This window comes from Homo sapiens, chromosome 17, assembly GCF_000001405.40.
Source record: "Homo sapiens chromosome 17, GRCh38.p14 Primary Assembly".
Classification (NCBI taxonomy): Eukaryota; Metazoa; Chordata; class Mammalia; order Primates; family Hominidae; genus Homo; species Homo sapiens.
Genome location: NC_000017.11, coordinates 68,292,013 through 68,315,180, shown reverse-complemented (window position 1 = coordinate 68,315,180; position 23,168 = coordinate 68,292,013). Strand labels below are relative to the sequence as shown.

The following is a 23,168-nucleotide window of genomic DNA, read 5'->3' as shown; positions in this document are numbered from 1 at the left end:
CCCTGAAAGAATAAGGCTCTAGAATGAGGAAATCTGAGTTTGAATATTGGCTTGGCCACTCACCAACTCTGGGCGTGTTACTTAACCTCAATTTCCTCATCTGAGATATAAGAGAAAAGTAGGGTGGTACCAAGAATTAGCCAGGGTAATGCCTAGAGCCTGGCACCTTGCAAGAGCTTGGTAAGGGTTAGTGATTGTTGCAGCTGTTGTGTTGATTCAAATAAAGGTGTTGGCCCCAATGCACAGCCAGCATAGGGATTAACAGGAATTTGTCACTGGAACTCCACCTCATCCTTCCAAGTTTTGTCACTGGACCTTTTATCATGCAGATTAGCCAATTCACACTGACATTCCATTTGGACATTTCTAGTAACAATAACAAAAATAACCATAGCTAACATAGAACCCTATCTATTGTATGCTAGGCTCTATGCTAACTGATTACACAGATTACTTAATTTTTTATTTTTTATTTTTTTTATGAGACACTCTGTTGTCCAGGCTGGAGTACAATGGCATGATCATAGCTCACTGCAGCCTTGAACTCCTGGCATTAAGGGATCCGTGTGCTTCAGCCTCTGGAGTAGCTGGGACCACAGATGTGCAACACCACACCTGGTTTACAGATTACTTAATTTTTTTTTTTTTTTTTTTTGAGATGGAGTCTTGCTCTGTTGCCCAGGCTGGAGTACAATGGCGCAATCTCAGCTCACTGCAACTTCCGCCTCCCGGGTTCAAATGATTCTCCCGCCTCAGCCTCCCGAGTAGCTGGGATTACAAGCATGTGCCGCCACGCCTGGCTACTTTTGTATTTTTAGTAGAGATGGGGTTTCTTCTTGTTGGTCAGGCTGGTCTCAAACTCCTGACCTCAGGTGATCCATCTGCCTCGGCCTCCCAAAGTGCTGGGATTACAGGTGTGAGCCACTGTGCCCGGCCCAGATTACTTAATTTAACCCTCACAACATCCTGTGAGGTAGAGGTGCTATCATTGTCCCCACTTACAGAAGAGGAAAGCAAAACTCCAGGGGATGATGCAGTTTGCCCGGGGCCACAGATAGGAAGTGGCAGAGCTGGGATTTGAGCTCAAACTGTCTGGCTCCTGCCCTCTTAAGCATGACATTTAGTCTTTAATGCGACAGATACTGACTGACCACCTACTACATTATAGACTGCGTTAGAAGCGGAGTAAAAAGAGATATGTAGGCCAGGCATGGTGGCTCACGCTTGTAATCCCAGCACTTTGGGAGGCCAAGGCAGGTGAATCACTTGAGGTCAGGAGTTCAAGACCAGCCTGGCCAACATGGCAAAACTCCGTCTCTACTAAAAATACAAAAATCAGCCGTGCGTAGTGGCAGGTGCCTGTAATTCCAGCTACTCAGAAGGCCGAGGCAGGAGAATCGCTTGAACCCGGAGGCGGAGGTTGCAGTGAGCCAAGATTGCACCACTGCACTCCAGCCTGGGCAACAGAGTGAAACTGTGTCTCAAAAAAAAAAAAAAGAGAGAGAGAGAGATACGTAATACAGCTAATTGCACCAGACTGAACAGCGTTCCCCTCAATTTCATATCAATCCAGAACCTGTGACGTGACCTTATTTGGAGATAGCGTCTTCGCAGATGTCATTAAGTTAAGATGAGGTCATACTGGAGTAGGGTGGGCCTTCAATCCAAAGACTGGTATTTTTATTAGAGGAGGGGAGTCTGGACACTGGCATGAAAGAACGCCTCATAACAACTGAGGCGGAGATAGGAGTCTAGAAGCCCAGAATGCCAAGGATTCCAGCAGGCACCAGAATCCAGGAGAGAGGCAAGGAATGGATTCTCTGTCAGAGCCTTCAGTCATAACCTTGATTTTGGACTTCTGGCTCTCCGAACTGTGAAAGGACAAAGTAATGTTTTTTTGTTTTTATTTTTGTTTTTTTTGAGATGGAGTCTCACTCTGTCACCCAGGCTGGAGTGCAGTGGCGCAATCTCGGCTCACTGCAATCTCTGCCTCCCGGGTTCACGCCATTCTCCTGCCTCAGCCTCCTGAGTAGCTGGGACTACAGGCACCTGCCACCATGCCCGGCTAATTTTTTGTATTTTTAGTAGTGACAGCGTTTCACCACGTTAGCCAGGATGGTCTTGATCTCCTGACCTCGTGATCTGCCCGCCTCGGCCTCCCAAAGTGCTGGGATTACAGGTGTGAGCCACTGTGCCTGGCCAGAACAAAGTAACATTTTAAGCTGTCCAGTTTGGAGTAATTTGTTCCAGCAGTCCTAGAAAATTCATGCACAAATAAAAAGGAGGCAACAGAACCGGGCGTGGTGGCTTGAGCGTGCAGTCCCAGCTAGTCACCCCAGACCCTGTTGGGCAATAAGAGTTCGTGTCTGAAAGTCATGGTTCCCCACTGGCCGTGAGTAGGCAGTGGGAGAAACCAGCGATGAATCAGTTCATGGCCTCACAGGAAGCCCGGCTTTCCTGTCAACAAAGAAGAATGAAAAGCCGTCGACCTCAGGCCAGAGGGCTAGCCACCTGGCCACTGTCACAAGGCTCAGATGGAAAGAAACACTTTCATAAGGGGGTGGGGAGAAGGAGAGCCCAACGAACCACATTTGGCATCTGACCCCTGAGTCCTCCTTTCTGCTCAGGATGAGAGTGTGACAGTAGAGACAGCACATGAGAAAAAAAAAACGTGTAGGCCTCGCAAATCTCAGCTTAAATAATGGGACTAATATTTCCCCGCTAACCTGCTAAACACTGAAAGCGGAAGTTCCTAAGCATTTGGCAACCCACGCCCTTTGGAGAATCTGGTAAATGTTCATGAATGGATGAACTCTCTCCCCAGAAAAGTATTCCTACATGCAAAATTTGGGGTGACATTCCAGGGCATCTTGAGCTCCTAGAGCCCATTTATTGATGAACAAATATTTATTAATTGCCCACTACGTACCAAGCACTGTGTTACATGCTAGGAATATAAGCGGGAAAGAACAGATGAGGCATTTTTCTTCCTGAAGTCCAGAGCTAGGAGGGAGGTGTGTAAGTTTTCTGTGGCTGCCATAACAAATTACCACAAGCTGTGTGGCTTAAAACAACAGTACAGGCCAGGCGTGGTGGCTCAGACCTGTAATCGCAGCACTTTGGGAGGCCAAGGCGAGTGGATCACTTGAGGTCAGGGGTTCGAGAGTAGCCTAGCCAACATGGTGAAACCCCATCTCTACAAAAATACAAAAATTAGCCAGGCATGGCAGCAGATGCTTGTAATCCCAGCTACTTGGGAGGCTGAGGCTGGAGAATCGCTTGAACCTGGGAGGTGGAGGTTGCAGTGAGCCAAGATCGCACTACTGCACTCCAACCTGGGCGACAGAGCAAGACTCCGTCAAAAAAAAAAAAAAAAAAAAGTACAGTACAGGAGGCTAAAAGTCTGAAATCAAGATGTCGGCCGGGCTGGTACCTTCTGGAGGCTCTGAGGGAGAATCTGTTCCATGCCTCTCTCCTTGTTCTGCTGGTTGCCAGCGGTCCTTGGTGTTCCTGGCTTGTAGAGGCATGGCTCCAATCTCTGCCTCCATCTTCACGTCACCATCTCTCTCTGTGTGTCCCTGTGTCTTCTCCTCTTCTTATAAGGAAATGTCACTGGATTTAGGACCCACCCTAAATCGATTCTGAGATCATCGAGAGCCTTAATTAATAACATTTGCAAAGACCCTGTTTCCAAATATGGTCACATTCTGAGGTTCTAGATGGACATGAATTTAGGGAGGATGCTATTCAACCCAATGTAGTGGTCAGATGATTGAACAGCCACCACAGAAAGCAGCAAGGACCATCACAGAACACCCGAGGCATCCACGAAAGCTTTCCTGAGGCCCTCGTGTACAACTGAGACCTAAGTAGTGAGTAGAAACTAATTAAACAGAGGAAGTGGAGAGTGCACCAGGATGAACCCATCACACAGATGAAGGGAGGGCTCATCCAAAGACCACTGCAAGAGAGAAGAGTGGAGAAGAAATCAGTTTGGGGTTTTGTTGGTTTTGTTTGTTTGTTTTGAGACAGAGTCTCAGTCTGTTGCCCGGGCTGGAGTGCAGCAGTGCAATCTCAGATCACTGCAACCTCTGTCTCCCAGGTTCTCCCGTGCACCGCCACATCTGGCTAATTTTTGCATTTTCAGTAGAGATGGGATTTCGCCATGTTGGCCAGGCTGGTCTTGAACTCCTGTCAAGTGATGTGCCCACCTTGGCCTCCTAAAGTGCTGGAATTACAGGCGTGAGCCACCACACCCAGCCAAACTCCAGTTTGTTAGCTGTGGTATGGGGTATGGGTTTTATCCTTAGGGCTAAAAAATGTCTTTGAAGGACTGGAAGCAGAAGAGTGTTTCTACAAAGTTCACCTTGATGGAGGTGAGGAAGAACTGGAGTGGGTGAGACCAGATGCAGAAACTACCACCCACCAAGGGCGCGTATCTCAGGAAAAGCATCAAGCTCTAGGATGCAAGTGGCCAAAACTCTGTGGAGATGCCCTATGCGTCATCCTAAGCGGTGAGCTGAAATGATTCCCCCCGAACCACATGGAGGAGTTTCGCCCAGTGCAGACAGAATCCGAGCTGGACAATCAGACCAATGTTAGCCCAAGAAGAAAATCCTGAAGTCTGAAAGCTCTAACGCTTGTTCTCCATCTAAGAAGGGAAAGGAGCTGGGTGTTTTAACAAAAATCTGCAATAGCTGTTTTCTAAACACTTCAACTCATCAGATGCATAGGCTCCTCTTTTGTGGTCCCTTAGAGTTCAGTATGCCTTAAGTGTAAGCCACGCCTTTCATAAATAAGTGAGTCACATCTCCCACGCCTCACAGACTCTCTTTTGCTCTTCAAAGGCCATCTCCTCCCTTGAAACCCCAGGTTGGGTTCCACACCCTCGCTTCTGTTCTCCAAAAACTCTGGATGTTGGGGCTGGGTGTGGTGGCTCACGCTTGTAATCCCAGCATTTTGGGAGGCCGAGACGGGCGGATCACCTGAGGTTGGGAGTTTGAGACCAGACTAACCAACATGGAGAAACCCGATCTCTGGGGTTTCTCCCCAGGTGGCACACACCTGTAATCCCAGCTACTCGGGAGGCTGAGGCAGGAGAATCGCTTGAACCCGGGAGATGGAGGTTGCAGTGAGCTGAGATCGTGCCACTGCACGCCAACCTGGGCAACAAGAGCGGAACTCCATCTCAAAAAAAAAACACAACAAAACAAACAAACAAACAAAAAACTCTGGATGTGGGCTCAGAAGCTATTTGCTTATAATTCTTATTTCCCTTTCTTTCTTTATTTATTTACTTTTTTATTTTATTTATTTTTTTTTAGACAGAGTCTCACTCTTATTGCCCAGGCTGGAGTGCAGTGGTGCGATCTCAGCTCACTGCAACCTCTGCCTCCCAGGTTCAAGTGATTCTCCTGCCTCAGCCTCCCGAGTAGCTGGGGTCACAGGTGCCTGCCACTGCGCCCGGCTACATTTTGTATTTTTAGTAGAGAGAGGGTTTCGGCAGGTTGGCCAGGCTAGTCTCGAACTCTTGACCTCAGGTGATCCACCTGCCTCAGCCTCCCAAAGTGCTACAGGCGTGAGCCACTGCACCCAGCCTATTTACTTATTTTTTAAGAGACAGAGTCTCGCTCTGTGACCCACACTGGAGTGCAGTGGCACAATCATAGCTCACTGCAACCTTGAACTCCTGGGCTCCAGTGATCCTCCTGAGAGGTGACAGCGTGCTGGCAGTCCTCACAGCCCTCGCTCGCTCTCGGCGCCTCCTCTGCCTGGGCTCCCACTTTGGTGGCACTTGAGCCCTTCAGCCCACCGCTGCACTGTAGGATCCCCTTTCTAGGCTGGCCAAGGCGAGAGCCGGCTCCCTCGGCTTGCAGGGAGGTGTGGAGGGAGAGGCGCGAGCGGGAACTGGGGCTGCGTGCTGCGCTTGTGGGCCAGCTGGAGTTCCGGGTGGGCGTGGGCTTGGCGGGCCCCGCACTCGGAGCAGCCAGCTGGCCCTGCGGGCCCCGGGCAATGAGGGGCTTAGAACCCGGGCCAGCAGCTGCGGAGGGTGTACTAGGTCCCTCAGCAGGGCCAGCCCACCAGCACTGCACTCGATTTCTCACCGAGCCTTAGCTGCCTTCCTGTGGGGCAGGGCTCGGGACCTGCAGCCCGCCATGCCTGAGCCTCCCACCCCCTCCGTGGGCTCCTGTGCGGCCCGAGCCTCCTCGAGCACCACCCCCTGCTCCACAGCGCCCAGTCCCATCGACCACCCAAAGGCTGAGGAGTGCAGGCGCAGGGCGCGGGACTGGCAGGCAGCTCCACCTGCAGCGCCGGTGCGGGATCCACTGGGTGAAGCCAGCTGGGCTCCTGAGTCTGGTGGGGCCTTGGAGAACCTTTATGTCTAGCTCAGGGATTGTAAATACACCAATCGGCACTCTGTATCTAGCTCAAGGTTTGTAAACACACCAATCAGCACCCTGTCAAAACAGGCCACTCAGCTCTACCAATCAGCAGGATGTGGGTGGGGCCAGATAAGAGAATAAAAGCAGGCTGCCCGAGCCAGCAGTGGCAACCCGCTCAGGTCCCTTTCCACACTGTGGAAGCTTTGTTCTTTCGCTCTCTGCAATAAATCTTGCTACTGCTCACTCTTTGGGTCCACACTGCTTTTATGAGCTGTAACACTCACCATGAAGGTCTGCAGCTTCACTCCTGAAGCCAGCGAGACCACGAGCCCACCGGGAGGAACGAACAACTCCAGACGCACCGCCTTAAGAACTGTAACACTCACCGTGAAGGTCTGCAGCTTCACTCCTGAGCCAGTGAGACCATGAACCCACCAGAAGGAAGAAACTCCGAACACATCTGAACATCAGAAGGAACAAACTCCAGACGTGCCACCTTAAGAGCTGTAACACTCACCGCGAGGGTTTGCAGCTTCATTCTTGAAGTCAGTGAGACCAAGAACCCACCAATTCCAGACACACTCCCACTTCAGCCTCCCGAGTAGCTGAGACCACAGGAGCGTGCCACCACCGCTAGCTAATTTGCTTTTATTTTTTGTAGAAGTGGGATCTTGCCAGGTTGCCCAAGCTGGTCCCAAAATCATGGGCTCAGGTGAACCTCCCACCTGAGTCTCCCAAAGCATTGGGATTACAGCCATGAGCCACTGTACCTAGCCCCTTACTTTCCTTTTAACCTGTCTTCTCTACCAGACAATGAATAACTTGAGGGCAAAAATGTTTTATCTTGTTCACCTCTGTATTCCTAGCTCCTAACACATAATGAATGTTACTAGATAGATGGATGGGTGCTAGATGGCTGGATTTCTTCACGATGCTATGCTGGCTTCAAACCAAATTAATTAATAAATTAACTAAATCAGCATGGGTCCATCAATGACTCTTTAAGTGCTTTGCACGGCCCCTTCCCCTCTCAAGAACGGGAGTAAGACATCCAAAGAAAGGCTGGCCTGGCATCTCAAGACTCACCTCATTCCCTCCGAAGCCATCTTATCAAGGTTGGCAGTGTCCTTTGTTTCTGCCCAGTTTGCTCCCAGGTCACCCCACCCCATGTCATCGGCCAAAATAATCACAAAGTTTGGCTTCTGTCCTCTTGTTTTCCCACTGATGCAAAAATCCACAAGAGGATAAAGAAATCCTGAGAAACTCACTCCCGCCAACAAAACCTTTAGAAAAAGCCAGCCCATGGTGGTGAAGGCAGGATTCCGATTGTCTGGAGCGACGGCAGCCACCACTAGAGATTTTTCTGAGAGCTTCCTTTCTGCTCACTTTCAAAGCAGGAAGTCTCTGGGGAGCAGGGGTGGAATCTGCAAGAAGATGCTGGTGGCAGTGGTGATGGCAGTGATAACGGCTATAGGAATGTTGGGGGCTGTAGAAATGAGGCCCCCATCTGGAATCCTAATTCAAAAGAATCAGGAAATTTGCAATCCCTCATTTGGCTTGATCTTCTATGGTCAGTGTTTCCTCACCGCAGCTCAGTAAAATGACTGGTCGTGTTCAATAATTAGACATCAATGTCAACAACTGCTCTTTGGCCACTAAGAAAGTGACCCTTCTGTATTCAGGGCCTCAGAGCCACAGCACAGGCCTTACATCTGCTTGGCTGTTTGGGACTCCATCTGGTGACTACAGGATGAGTTCTCGCATCTGCAGAACACCTGGATGTTCTAGAAGCCGCCGTCAGCCCCGAATAACTGAGTAGCAGATGGTTGAGGGCTTCATGTTTCTGTAAGGTTTCCTGAAAGAACAAAAATTGACAAGAAAACAGAGTTAAAACTGCCAGTGCAGCTGTGTTTTACTCAGTAGCTTAGGAAATAATCACTTTTCCATGCCAACAGATGTTTTTATTCAAATATTTAACTGGTTCATCAGTTTCTCCACCTGAAAAATAGTGATGATAATAATATTCGCAATGGACCTATAGCGACAGGGTTGGAAGTAACATTAGAGATGATCTCTGCCAACCCACTCACTGTAGAGATGAGGATATTGAGGCCCAGTGTTCTGGGTGGGACCAGGACCAGCCCCCAATGCTGCTAAATCCCAGTGTGCCACTGAGAATTCCAGAAGGAGAGGTGAGACCCTTATTACCAAGACATGGTTATTTGTAACAGTCAAGCTATAACCTAATGTTTCTACATTTAAAAAAATTTTTGGAGATAGGGTCCTGCTACGTTGCCTAGGCCAGTCTTGAACTCCTGGCTCAAGTCATCCTCTTGCCTCAACCTCCCACATAGCTGGGATTACAGGCATGTGCCACTATGACCAGCTAAAATTCTTTTTTTTTTGAGACTGAGTCTCACTCTGTCACCCAGGCTGGAGTGCAATGGCACAATCTCGGCTCACTGAAACCTCCGCCTCCCGGGTTCAAGAAATTCTCGCAGGGAGCGGTGGTTCACACCTGTAATCCCAGCACTTTGGGAGGTCAAGGCGGGCGGATCACCTGAGGTTGGGAGTTTGAGACCAGCCTGACCAACATGGAGAAACCCCAGTTCTACTAAAAATACAAAATGAGCCGGGCATGGTGGCGTATGCCTGCAATCCCAGCTACTTGGGAGGCTGAGGCAAGAGAATCGCTTGAACCCAGGAGGCAGAGATTGCGGCGAGCTGAGATCGCACCACTGCACTCCAGCCTGGGCAACAAGAACAAAACTCCATCTCAAAAAAAAAAAGAAGAAAAAGAAAAAAGAAATTCTCATGCCTCAGCCTCCTAGTAGCTGGGATTACAGGTGCCCACCAACACACCCCAGCTAATTTTTGTATTTTTGGTAGAAACGGGGTTTCACCATGTTGGCCAGGCTGGTCTCGAACTCCTGACCTCTCAAGTGATCTGCCCGCCTTGGCCTCCTTAAGTGCTGGGATTACAGGTGTGAGCCACCACACCCAGGCCCAGCCAAAATTCTTGACAGAAGTTAATCTGGGGGAAAAGGAAATGGTTTTAAAAAGTTAATAATAGAATCTAGGTAGCAGATATATGGGTGCTTACTAAAGAACTCTTTTAATTTTGCTGTATGTTTGTAATTTTCATAATAAAATGTTAGAAAAAATTTCAAAAAATTTTTTTCATGGAAATGTGTCCCTTTGCATCCTAGCCATGTAATTTTAATAAGAAAATCTAAAGACATGTTCAACCAGTGGTGCATCTTACACATGGAGGTACATATGAATCTGCTGTGGATTTTATGTTGATTAAACCGCAGATTCAGTAGGTAAGGCTGGGCCTGGGATCTGTATTTCTAACAAGCCCATGTGAGGCCTGTACTGCTCGTCTTTGGATCACACTTTAAGCAGCAAAGTTGCTGGAAAACAAAAACATCATGAGGCTAGTGCAAGAAGAAAAAGGAAACTGCTTAATCTAACTGATGACTCAACTTCAGTGGACAAATAAAAACGACAAATCAGACTTGAGTTTTGAAAGACGGGAATTGAAGGTTATACTTTAAGCTGCAGGTTGCAAATGGAGCCAAGGATAAAACTAGATTAGCTCTAGTTCACTTAAAAGCCCTAAATTTGCAAGTTTATTTTATTTATGTATTTATTTTTAAAGAGACAGATCCCAGCTCACTGCAATCTCAAACTCCTGGGTTCAAACGATCCTTCTGCCTCAGCCTCCCGGGTAGCTAGAATTACAAGTGTATGCCACCACGCCCAGCTAATTTTTTTACTTTTTGTACAGACTGGATCTCACTATATTGCCCAGGCCAGTCTGGAACTCCTGGGTTCAAGTGATCCTCCCACCTCAACCTCTCAAAGTGCTGGGATTACATGCATGAGTCACCACATCCAGCCAATTTGCAAGTTTAATAAGGAGGAACAGAGTTGAAATTGTGGACCAAACAAAAATTTCAGTTGGCTGGGCATTGTGGTTCATTCCTGTAATCCCAACACTTTGGGAGGCCGAGGCGGAAGGATTACTTGAGGCTAGCGGTTCAAGATCAGCCTGTCCAACATAGTGAGACCTTATCTGTATTTTTTAAATCTAAAATTAACAACAACAACAACAAAGCTTCAGTTGAACATCCAGTGTATGGAGCAGATTAAAGGAGAACCACTGTGTAAAAAAGATAGGCCTGGGATTATGACAGACACTTTTTCCAGTTGTACATCCTTGCAAGCCAACCCAATTGATCAATCCACATGGATGGGGGTGGTTAGAGGTATGTAAATTTTGGAAGACCGGGATAAAAACCAAAAGAATGGGCAAATATGTACTTAATCAAACTAAAAGGAAATCCAAGTAAACAGTCATGTCATCTGGAGGCCAATGAATCAATTGTTCAGAAATGCAAATTCTTCTGTTTCCCAAAAGGAGATGTATTATCTCAAACTCAATTAGACTCAACTGGTATTTGTTGATCTTAAGACTCCAAAGGCATCTCCCTTTTCAGGAGAAAGAGCCTCAGCACAAGGAGGGTGGTTAACAAACACCTGTGGACCTGCTGCTTGATTCCGAGATCATTCTACTGGCTTCTGACCATGTGCAACAGACACAGGAGACTTTTCCTCTTAAAGCTTCTTAGCTTGGAACACTAGAGTGGCCTCATGCCTGGTCAATAATCCATTTCAGAATGGATCCCATGTACAAGACTTCAGGGAAAAAAAATTCACTTAAGAAAGAAGCTAAAATTTAGGTGGGAATATAAATAAACAGATTGTGTTTCTTCAGTGTTCCATGATGAAACATTCCATTGAGGATTTTCAAAGAGAATCATTACTTAAAATGTTCATAGAATGGAAATAAGCGAATCTAGCCAGCAGACCACTGCATTATTCTTCACACCCACACCTCCAGGGAAACATTTAATCCTTTCCCCATTTTTGTTAACTAAATGGAAAAGGCAGACCAGACACTCAAAGAATGGATGCCCAGGTACAGACTTTGATTAAGATCTAAGCTCAAACGTTGAGCTCAAGTGCTATAAGGAAAATGGGGCTGGGTGCGGTGGCTCATGCCTGTAATCTCAGCACTTTGGGAAGCCAAGGCAGGCAGATCACCTGAGGTCAGGAGTTCAAGACCAGCCTGGTCAACATGGTGAAGCCCCATCTCTACTAAAAATACAAAAAATTAGCCAGGCATAGTGGCGTGCACCTGTAGTCCCAGCTGCTTGGGAGGCTGAGGCAGGAGAATCGCTTGAACCTGGGAGGCGGGGGTTGCAGTGAGCTGAGATTGCGCCACTGCACTCCAACCTGGGTGACAGAGTGAGACTCCATCTCAAAAAATAAAACGAAACAAAAATATAAGGAAAATGGTTCCATAGCCAGACTCAGTGGCTCATGCCTGTAATCCCAGCACTTTGGGAGGCAAGGTGGGAGGACTGCTTGAGCCTGAGAGTTGGAGACCAGCCTGGGCAAGATGGCGAGACCTGATCTCTACAAAAAAATTAAAAAATTAGCCACGCATGGTGGTGTACATCTACAATCCCAGATACTTGGGAAACTGAGGTGGAAGGACCACTGGAGCCCAGGAGTTCAAGGCTGTGGCGAGCTATGATGGTGCCACTGTACTCCAGCCTGGGCAACAGAGCAAGATCCTGTCTCTGAAAACAATACCTCCAAACATACAGCTATATAAGCCAAGCATTTGATTGCATCTAGCCCCTAGAACAAAGGAAGAAAAGAAAATGGCCTTACTTGCTACCCTCAGATCTTATCTGATGTTATTTTGCCAGCTTTTTCTTTCTCCATCACTCTCAGAAAGGAGAGTAGACACAGGGAAGGAGCACTCCTGGCTATAAAGAAAGGCAGAGTCTTTGGCAAATACAGCATTCACCCCTCCTTCCACTGGGGCAGAAGGTACTCGGCCACGTCAGTCAACAAATCCCACAACGAAGGCCCATCTGCTCCATCAGAGCACAACTGACTGTGAAAGATCCTTGTTGAGCACAAGCATAAACAATTTCCCATGTCTCATGCTCCCCAAGCAGGAGCAGAGTGAACTTTAGTTGACAATCAGCTTTACCCATGATTCCTATTCTTCTCCACGACCCCCATTTTAAAGCAGGGCTGCTAAGTGTGCTCAAGTTTGACCTCCCTTCAGTTTCCAGGCTTGCTTAGGGGTAAAGGTACTGATAAACAGCCAAATGACCCACAGGCAGGCTGTGGGCCAGAAGCACTGAGAAGCGAATGGAATGCAGCAACCTGAAGATCTGCTGAGCAGTGTCTGAAAACACAGAGCTGAAGTCCTTGGGCTTCCTGAGCCACTCACTTCATCACCTGACCCTCGTTTCCCATGGGCCTCCCTGTGGCCAAGCATCCTCCTAGAGAACCTTGAAAACAGCTGAAATAACAAGAAGGTCGGGCAGACCTTTCTGGCAGAGGGTTCTGTTGGTTTTCCAGAGACAAAAGCATCTGATGAGCCGAGGCCAAAAAAGACAAAAGAGCAGGGGGGAGCAGGTCTCTGGGATGTGGACTGCTGTTGTTTTACTCCCCAGATCAGAACATGGTCTGTGTGCTGGCTGGCGGCCACGAGCCATCAGGGGCTGTCAGAAGGGGCCTTGGGCATCAGCTGCTCACGTGTTGTCGGAAGCAACTCCCCAACGCATTCTGTCATCTGTCCACCAAATTTGTACTGACTGACAGATTTTAAACCAGGCATAGTGCATACAGCCGTAAATGAAACAGACAAAAGTCCCTGCCCTCACACCACTTACTTTTTTGACAGTGAGGGGAGAAATGAAATCAATAAAATGTAAATAGCGTGAAGAACATCAAAGAAGGAGCTCAGGCATGGGATGGAGGCTGCAAAGTTAAAGGGGGTGGTCTGGGACAATCTCATCGAGAAAACACAATTTGGATAAGGATCTGTGTGAGGTCAGGGAGGAAGCTACGCAGCCATCAGGAAGCCAAGCAGGAAAGGCAGAGAAACTGGGAAAGGCTGAGGTCTGGCACAAGCAAGGAGCGGCAAAGAAGCCACTGCAGAAGCAATGGAGAAAGGAAGGGCAGGGATTAGAGTCAGAGAGGAAAGAAAGGCTTTTGCTGCGAGAGATGGGAAGCCAGAGGGATTCAGCAAGAGCAGCAGGCTCTGGTTTACATTGTAACAGAATCCCTGCCCTGTTGAGAATACACAAATGCCCCGCAGGGCAGCAGATGAAAGAAGCAGCTGAGTTAGGAGTCTCTTGCATGGGTCCAGGTGAGTCCAGGTGAGAGACAGTGCTAGAGCGAGACAAGCAAAATGCCTAGGGCACAAAACGTCAGGAGGTGGCCCTTCTGCTCGGGTAGCCACCCTGTACTCGCACCACCTGGGCAGTGAGCACTTCCTTACATGTTGCCTCACCCTAGTCCATCCAGGTGAAAAGGAAAACCCAGTTACCACGATAGCCAGGACAAAGGGTTATTTATTATCTACATGTAATAAACATCCTTGTGTCCCAGGCTTTTGCCCATAGACCCCAATATGTAATTTTGAGGCTAGCCCAACTTGGAAAGACTGCTTTCTTAGAGTGTAGGGGCCAAGATGTAGTAGTCTAAGCTCAACAGAAGATGCACAAGACATCTTTGAATGCCTCTATCCAGCCTGGGAGAGCAATTTCACTTACGTAATTAAAATGCTTTTTTTTTTTTTTTGAGACGGAGTCTCACTCTGTCACCCAGGCTGGAGTGCAGTGGTGCGATCTCGGCTCACTGCAAGCTCCGCCTTCCAGGTTCACACCATTCTCCTGCCTCAGCCTCCCGAGTAGCTGGGACTACAGGCGCCCGCCACCACGCCCGGCTAATTTTTTGTATTTTTAGTAGAGACGGGGTTTCACCATGTTAGCCAGGATGGTCTCGATCTCCTGACTTCGTGATCTACCCACCTTGGCCTCCCAAAGTGGCTTTTTTTTTTTTTAAAGCTTGGAGACCTCACACCAGACACTGTTTCGGGCAATATCATTTCTGTGAACCCAACGATGCCAGGAAACCCATCCACAGGGGGCATATGACATCCTGCCTAGTTTTAGGCTCGAACCACCTGTTGAGACTGTCACAGAAGAAAGCCATGTTGCAGGAGCCAGTTTGAGAGAGCCTAGGTGGCATCACGCCATGCATCTAAAAACCCAGTAGCCCTGCGGAAATTATATCTGTGTCCTCGCTCACAGATCAGAGAGAGGAGATGGACCTCTGAATAACGTCTTTCCTCTAAAAGTCTATCCTCCACTTGAGAAGAAAAATCCTGAGGGGTATGATCAAGAAGAAAGCTCCAGGTCAATGTCTGAAATTCGCTCACTGGAAGCCTGTTTGCCACATTTTTAAGAACCTTTTACAAAGCTGTATTTACTTATCACTTATTAAACATTTTATTATGGAAGTTGTCAAACACACAAAAGTTGAGAAACTCACATGTACTTACCCAACATTTCAATTCAACAATTATCAACACATGGTCAGGCTGGCTCTCTCCTTCAATTTCCCTTAGCCTCCCTCTCCACATATGCTGGATTATTTTGAAATAAGCCCCAGGCCAGGCGTGGTGGGCCACACGTGTAATCCCAGCGCTTTGGGAGGCTGAGGCAGGAGGATCACCTGCGGCCAGGGGTTAGAGGCCAGCCTTGGCAACAAAGCGAGACCCCATCTCTCTGCAACAACAACAACAACAAAATAACTGGATATGGTGGCATGTGCCTGTAGTCCCAGCTGCTAGGGAGGCTGAAGTGGGAAGATGGCTGGAGCTCAGGAGTTCAAGGCTGCAAGTGAGCTGTGATCATGTCACTGCACTCCAGCCTGGGCAACAGAGCAAGACCCTGTCTCTTAAAAAAAAAAAAAAAAAGCAATACCAAATATCATATAATTTTATCCAGAAGTATTTTGGTACAATTCTCTAAAAGTTAATTCTTACTATATAACTACAATTCCATAACACCCTCCTTTTAAAAATTAACAATTGGTTAGTATCATCAAAAATCCAATCAGAGTTCAAATGTCCTCCATTATCTCATCAGTATTTTTTTAACAGTTGGTTTGTTCTAATCAGTATCCAGACAAGGTTCACAACACACTGCACTTGGTTCACGTGTCTCTTTTCTTTTCATTTATGGCTCCCCTCTTCCTTTCTCTGCATAGATTTGTAAATAAATTACGGTGTTTGCCCTGTAACATTTCTCAAATTTTGGATTTAGCTGATTGTATCCTCTATTGAAATGTTCCCTGGACCCGTTTTCCTGGTAAACTGGCTTGTAGATCTAGGATGAGATCCGATCCAGGTTCGATTTTTTTTTTGGCAGGCCCACCTTATGCATCATATCTTTCCCCTTGTCATGTTCAGCCTGATCAGTGGTTTACGTGTCAACGTTCCATTTTTTCAGCTAGGCGCGGTGGCTCATGCCTGTAATCCCAGCACTTTGGGAGGCCGAGGTGGGCAGATCACCTGACGTCAGGAGTTCGAGACCAGCCTGGTCAACATGGTGAAACCCCATCTCTACTAAAAATATAAAAATTAGCCGGGCGTGGTGGTGGGCGCCTGTAATCCTGGCTACTCAGGAGGCTGAGGCAGGAGAATTGCTTGAACCCAGGAGACGGAGGTTGCAGTGAGCCAACACAGTGCCACTGCACTCCAGCCTGGGCAACAGAGTGAGACTCTGTCTCAAAAAAAAAAAAAAAAAAAAAAGTTCAATTTTTTTCCCTTTGTCATTTTTGCATGAGAATAGGAAACTTTCTCTTAAGAAAAACAGTGCTTTGTACTATCTTTTCTATTTTTGTAGATTTATCCTTGCCCTGGATCCATTCTACTTTCTCAATGAAATATGTTTTTATAAACTAAAAGTTTGTGTGCCCCCAAAATTTGTATGTTGAAGCCCTAACTCTCAGTGTGATGATATTTGAAGATAGGCCTTTGGAGGGGTGATAAGGCTTAGATGAGGTCATGAGATAATGGGATTAGTGCCTTTACAAGAAGAAACATCAGAGAACTTGCTTGCTCACTCTCTCTGCCATGTGAGGACACAGCAAGAAGGTGGCTGTCTGCAGGCCAGGAAGAGAGCCCTCACCAGGAACCAAACTGGCCAGCCTCCAGAACTGTAAACAATAAATTTCTGTTGTTTGGGCTGTATTTTTGTAAATTTCTGTTGTTAGTCTACAGTAGTGTTCTTCTCTTTTTTTTTTTTTTTTTTTTTTGAGACAGGATCCCGCTCTGTCACCCAGGCTGGAGGGCAGTAGAGCAATCTCAGCTCACTGCAACCTCCACCTCCTGGGTTCAAGTGATTCTCGTGCCTCAGCCTCACAAGTAGCTGGGACTACAGATGCACACCACCATGCCCAGCTAATTTTTATATTTTTAGTAGAGACAGGGTTTCACCAGACTGGTCTTGAACTCCTGATCTCAAAGTGATCCACCCACCTCACCCTCCCAAATTGCTGGGATTACAGATGTGGGGCACCAAGCCCAGCCTAGTCCATGGTATTTTATTATGGCATCCTGAGCACCCCAAGACAGATTCCCCTAAAGTTTTAGGAATCTCTGAAGCCAAGGCTCAGGTAGGGGCAGAAATAGGGGTAAGACCCAAATTTAGGAAAAAAACAATTTAGTGAAGCAGTTACTTAGCAAATTTGCCTTTTGGGGAATTGACTTTTGAGATGTGTTATTTCCAGAGGAGTATGTATCCGGGATTCAGCAGTGATTTGCCAGCTGTGTGACCATGGATATGTTACAGAATCTCTTTGTGTCTCAGTTTCCTCCCTTACCTGAAAAATGGAGTTTTGGCCTGGAATTAGATATCAGGGGAAAAAAAAAAAAAAAAAAGAGTCACAGTAAACTTTCTCAACCCCAAACACAATGTGAGAATGAAATAATCCAACCCAAGTTCTCAGTAAGTGCTAAGAAATATTGGCTACTGTTAGTCCATCTCTTGATTGTTTTGAGGATAAAGGGATAATAAATATGAGAACACACTAAAAATGTGCTATGCAAGCCAAAGCGTTACTAACATTAAAATAAAACATAATGGCTGGGCACAGCGGCTCACGCCTGTAATCCCAACACTCTGGGATGCCGAGACAGGAGGATCACCTGACCCCAGGAGTTCCAGACCAACCTGGGCAACATAGCAAGACCCCATCTCTATTAGAAAAAAAATTTTTTTAATTTTAAAAAAAGATAAAAACATAACTATTCTGAGTATAGATGGCAAAATCCAGACTCCCTGCAGCTACTGGCTGAATCTGCCAGAATTGTTTGTTAAGCAAGCTCTGATGCTGGTTTCTGAACCTAGAGAAGACAGAAGCTACAAACACGCCACCATAGTCACAAACAAGGCAAAGAGGAAATAAAGACTGATTTCAGTTTACATTTTCAACGTTCCAAACTATGGTTCCTTGTTACACAATCCCATGACTATCTGTGCCATCTTGGCTAAACCTGAGCCAGGTCCCTTCAGCCAAGCAGACTCTAATAATAGCTGGCATCCTTGGAGTATGCTGCCTTCCAGCAAATCTGGTTTCGGACAATTTAACAATATGAGGTCAAGATGTAGGATGCGTGTGAGGGGAATCTCCCCTTTGTTGATGTTAATTGAAAATGGAAGTTACATTTCCATATCAGAAACATTTCAAAAGAACTCTTTGTCCAGGATGCTTGGCTAGCTAGGTGCTCAAGCAAGAAAGATCTACAACTCCAGGGCGGAAACTCTGTAAAGGCAGGGACATTCTGTATAGTTTATGCACTGCATAATTCCGGCACCCGGCCCAGAAGGTATTCAGTCAATATTTGCTGGATGAGTGCATGTAACATGAACATCAACAGCCCAGCCTGCTCTGCCTCGCCCTGCCAGCTTCATCTCATCATTCCCCTCAACTTAGATGACTTTTCTAAGTTCTTTCTTAGAAGACATTCACTTGTAATTCTCACTTGTAAAATTGTACTTGTTGAAATGCTGTTTTACGTAACAATCGCATGTGTCCTGTCTTCTGAACTAAACTATACACACTATGAGAGAAGGAACCACATCCTCTGAGGTGTGGTTTTGTGGCCTGGGAGACAACAGCAGTTGTCAGTGCTCACGAGTGGGCTATGGATGAGCAGAGGCCGCTTGGGTGGATGGACGGATGAACGATGGGCATGGGAGGGAAGGATGGAGGGATGGATGCTCCCTGGACCCAGTCCTGCTGTGTATCCCTACAAAGCTCACCTAACTCCACAGGCCCCCACCGATCACAGCAGGGCGGGGCCCCTCCTCACCATTTGCCCACAACACAATCCTGCAGCATCCTTGTAGTTTCTTCGCATCGTCCCCTAGCCATCTGGAAACTCACGGAGGCACTGCTCCTAAAGGGTTAAAATGGAAGCTTAACATTGCCTATTGTTCCTGGGAATCTAGAAACACAGGACAGGAGGTACCTGTTTAGACAAGATAGGGAAAGTCAGCATCTCCCTTTAGGCAAGAAACACAGCAGGAGAGCAGGTTTTTATTCATTGGGCCTTGAGGAACAGGGCAGGTGGAACAACTTCAACAACTATCTGAAGAAAGCGTGACTCGATCGGGGCAAAATCCACTGGTCCCACACACAGCCCTTCCCAATATTGCCAATGAGATCCCACGACCCACAACTGTGTCACACAGTTTAATGTGACGTGCATTCACTCCTAAATGTAATGTGATTTAAATAATTTTGTTCTGAGATTTGGAGTTGGTTGGTTGGTTTGAGACAGGGTCTTACTCTGTTGCCCAGGCTGAAGTGCAGTGGTGTGACAGCACCACCACACCCAGCTAATTTTTTAAAAATATATATTTTTTAGGCCGGAGCAGTGGCTCATGCCTATAATCCCAGCACTGTGGGAGGCTGAGGTGGGTGGATCACCTGAGGCCAGGAGTTCGAGACCAGCCTGGCCAACATGGTAAAACCCTGTCTCTACTAAAAGTACAAAAATTAGCCAGGCATGGTGGCACACACCTGTAGTCCCAGCTACTTGGGAGGCTGAGGCAGGAGAATTGCTTGAACCCGGGAGGCAGAGGTTGCAGTGAGCCAAGATCGCGCCACTGCACTCCAGCCTGGGCAACAGAGGAAGACTCCATCTCAAAAAAAAAAAAAAAAAAAAAAAAAATTTGTCTTAGATGTGGTGTCTTGCCGTGTTGCCCAGGCTGGTCTCAAACGTTTGGTCTTCAAGCAATCCTCCTGCCTTCATGCCAAAAGCACTAGGATTATCACACTCAGCCTGGGTTTGTTTTCTAGGACTTTTGCAACAGGCTTGAGATAATTTATAGAAGCCTCCCGGAGGCTATGTTCTCTATTTTTTTTTTTAATTTTTAAGCAGTAATAAATGGCAAAACTACAGGAGCAGTCAACTATGAAGACTGAGAAGCCTAGGAATGAAATTCAGTACTGATCAAGTAAAAGTTACTTCAGAGTTAATGACAGACACCAACGATACATCGATACTGCACCAAATGGTAACAGGTATGACAGAAATCAATCATCGGCCGCCCACACACACGAGTGGGAAGGTGACCTCACTGTCCCCAAATACAGAATGGCCTCACCTACCTCCTACCTTCTTCTCATGCTGTTCACCTCTCCCTTGGCTCAGCACCCCTTGCCAGTTCTCCCAAGGTCCTCTCTGCCAGTTGAAGGCTTCCCTGATCGCCATCCTCCTCAATCCCCCAGGACTCACAGGTTGAAAGAGTCGCAGCCAAGAGTTAGGGAACCTGACCATGAGCCAATCCCAGTGCTAAGCCCCTTGCACGTGTTAATTCAGTTAACTTAGCAACTGTACTAAGCCATGCACACAACTCTGTAGTATTATTATTATCATCGTCATCACTATCTGTGCCTCAGAACCCCTTGGCAAATCTTTAAATTCTCCCAGAAGTGTGTGTTTCCCAGTTTGAAGGGCCCTGCCTTCCTACAAACTGTGAAATTTGGCGGGGTGCTGCGGGGGAGGAACCCAAATCACAAAATAAACCTAGCAGAACTACCTGTACCATCGGTTCACTGTTGCTAGATGGCAGAGTGTGTGAAGTTCCTGGCCAATTGGAGAAGCAGATATTAAAGTTTTAAAGCAAGAAATTGCTTCAGTGGCATACAAGTCACTTGCCCAGAACACAAGCCCCTGGGTGGGAGCATGGTGGGTGGAACAGAGACTGGAAGAGGAAGAATGGAAGGGTGGGTGGGCCATCGAAGCCTCCCATGGAAGCCCCCTTCACATATTCTCCCCCTTTGATGGCTGCCCTGAAGAGTCAGCCCCCAAAAGCAGGCTTGCGGGACCCTCTTCCCAGAGGTCCAGACCAGATTCCTTTCAGTCTACTTACCCAAGTTGAAGTTCTCACAGGCTGGTAAATGCAGTGAGCTTATTTGCAAGCCAGGGTCATATCTGCCTAGCAACCCAACACGAAGACTTGAAGGACTATAAACGTGGACAGAGAACAGGCAGGCCAACTTTACACAAAGGAATCTGTTCTCATGCAAATGACCCTATGCAAGAGGGCTAAAAGAGGGAGCCTTGGGGACAGCTCTGAAGAGCCAACTTTTTCCCCAAGAAGATGTTGGGGGTCTTCTTAAGGGCATCATGATGGTCTTGCCCACTGTAAAGGAAAGCCGAGAGGGGGCTCTGCCTGCCACTTGGGATCAGGCAGACACAACAGGAGAGGCTAAGAGGGGAGCTGAGCCCTTCACTTGATTTCCTGATTTTTCTGGTCCTGTACTCCAGACTCCAAAGGTTCTTTTGTTCTTATTTAGAACTAAACAGAGTTAGTTTTGTTTGGGGGCAAGGGGGCGTTGATTAGCATGGCAATGCAGTGCTTTCTCTGGAGAAGTTAAAAAAGCAGGGGTTTTCACGCTTGGTCTCACTAGGATTGAGGGAACAAGGTGAAGCCAGCCTCTAACTAGGGTGGGCAAAAGTCATGTTGCGTGACTTTTTTGTGACTAGCAAGGCTGTGCGTAGGTTGGGTTTCCAGCTACCTCTCCATTATTCAAACACAGATGGCAAATGTCATCTTTGGATGAGCTCTAGTGGTAAAAAGTGCTAGTGTGTATCTATAAACATGGTGTAACCTTAGGTCAATCCCTCCAGTGCTCAGTGCCTCCACTTTCCTCATCTGTAAAATGGGAATAATGAGTGTCAACTACAGAAGGTTACTGATGCGGTTAACATTGCATTACATGTATGGCACTTAATGCAGTGTTGAGGACAAAGCAAACATTTAAAAAAGATTAATATTAATAAAATATAAGAATAGTAACACATTAGTAACAAAAATCTATTATTATTATTATTATTATTATTAGAATCATGCTCCCCAAAAGCCAGGTTTCACTTGCTCAAACATTCAGATGTGATTTTTCCAATCATTCATTCACTCCTGAGGATTTAGGTATAATTTGAGTCATTTTTTAAATCAAGAGACTGAAGTACAGAGATTTTATGTGACTTGCTTCGAGTCACTCAGGTATAAATGGCTGGCTGCACCTTTAGGTTCCTAAGACATACAGAATATGCTGTCATATTGCACATGATATTTCCATATAGAGTACAGTAACAGGTCCTAAGTATTAAAGTGTAAGATCCTAAATATCAAAGATTATCTTACAGGCAGCCCTGCATTAGCATGAAGTGTTCAAATCAGTTTCTAAATATCATTATATATGGATCCTTTGAAGAACAACTCAAAAAAGGGCTCTCTCTCACAGGGAGTGTGTTGGAGTCAGCAATTAATTGGCCTTGGTAAAGCATAAATCGTAACAGCAGCAAGAGCTAATGGGTACTGAGGCCTTACCAAATGCCAGTCACTGCGATCCGCACTTTACAAGTACCATAAATTAAACCCTCCAATTCTGGGAATACCACCTCCATCCCCATTTTACAGATCTGGAGAAATTAACGCTCTACGAGGTTAAATTACGCCTACAAGGTTGCAAAGCTGCTCAGCGGCCCCTTGGCTGTACACTACTGGCCATACAAGGCACCCTGTACCAACGAATCTTCTCCCCACTTACACAACCAGAACTTGTCAACGGCAAAGGATGGCATTTAACTCAGGAGAGCCTATCCCAAAATGGTGAGAGAACTCAGCGAGCAAGGAAGGATTTTTATTAAAATTCAGATCGCCGACTCCTCCCGGTGGCGACCCTCCGTGCATGCACTCCCAAACTAGGCTCTCTTGAGTTTCTGACATCAGAACCACATTCTCCGAACCCCAATGAAGGCAGCAGCCGGCGCCAAAGTCTGCATACGAATGCAAATAACATGGCCTTTGCTTCCGAGCAGTTTCCAAATTTGCCCTCGGGATGTGAGGTAGAGACCAAGAAGCTAAGTTTGCGCCCCCGCAGGCTCTGAAATGTCTAGGATCTGACACATGCTTTGTCCCCATGAGGAGCTCCTGAGATTTCGCGTGCATCATCCGCTTAGTTCACGGTGACCTTGGGGTCGGGGACTACGGGATGAGGGGCACGGACTGTCTAAACCTCCAGGTCCCTTACAGAGGGCTCCCCGCGGGTATGGGAGCCATGCACCTGTGCCGACGCCGCCACTGCCTGGAGGGTGCGCGCGCGCCCCGGGCCGGGGATGCTGACTCAGCCCGGCTGCTCACATTCCTTTCGCGCAACGCGGATGCTGTTGCTGCCGCTGCTGCCGGTGCAGCAAAGTGGGGGAAGCAAGGCACCCGCAGCGGCCCGGCCGCTCGCTCCCTGGGGCCCACTGCGACACTCCCTCCCCACTGCCGGAAGGGGAACTGTGGGGGTGCGCGAGTTGACGAAACTGGGGGAAGT

The 23,168-nt window shown here is 47.2% G+C and overlaps 1 protein-coding gene across 42 annotated transcripts in view, besides 1 other annotated feature; it reads right to left on the bottom strand.

The window, feature by feature from the left end:
• The window catches only part of ARSG (arylsulfatase G), a 192,850-nt gene that overhangs the window by 136,839 nt on the left and 32,843 nt on the right, over positions 1–23,168 (bottom strand). For 32 of the 42 annotated variants that reach the window (XR_007065287.1, XM_047435644.1, XM_047435647.1 and 29 more), the window contains exon 2: positions 7,470–8,238. Coding sequence is in view for 41 of the 42 variants with exons in the window: in XM_047435644.1 (XP_047291600.1) it covers positions 7,470–7,687 (218 nt within the window). In the remaining variant the exon portion in view is untranslated. Of the gene's footprint in view, positions 1–7,469; positions 8,239–18,645; positions 19,065–22,913; positions 23,047–23,168 lie in introns of those variants that run through there. The other 10 variants (NM_001352902.2, XM_047435640.1, XM_017024360.3 and 7 more) reach the window with 5 other exon arrangements.
• Positions 22,599–22,828: an enhancer, noted in NCBI's record as "active region_12644". NCBI's record gives its function as "activates an Ori minimal core promoter by ATAC-STARR-seq in GM12878 lymphoblastoid cells {active_cell/tissue: GM12878}" and the evidence as "EXISTENCE:reporter gene assay evidence [ECO:0000049][PMID:35858748]".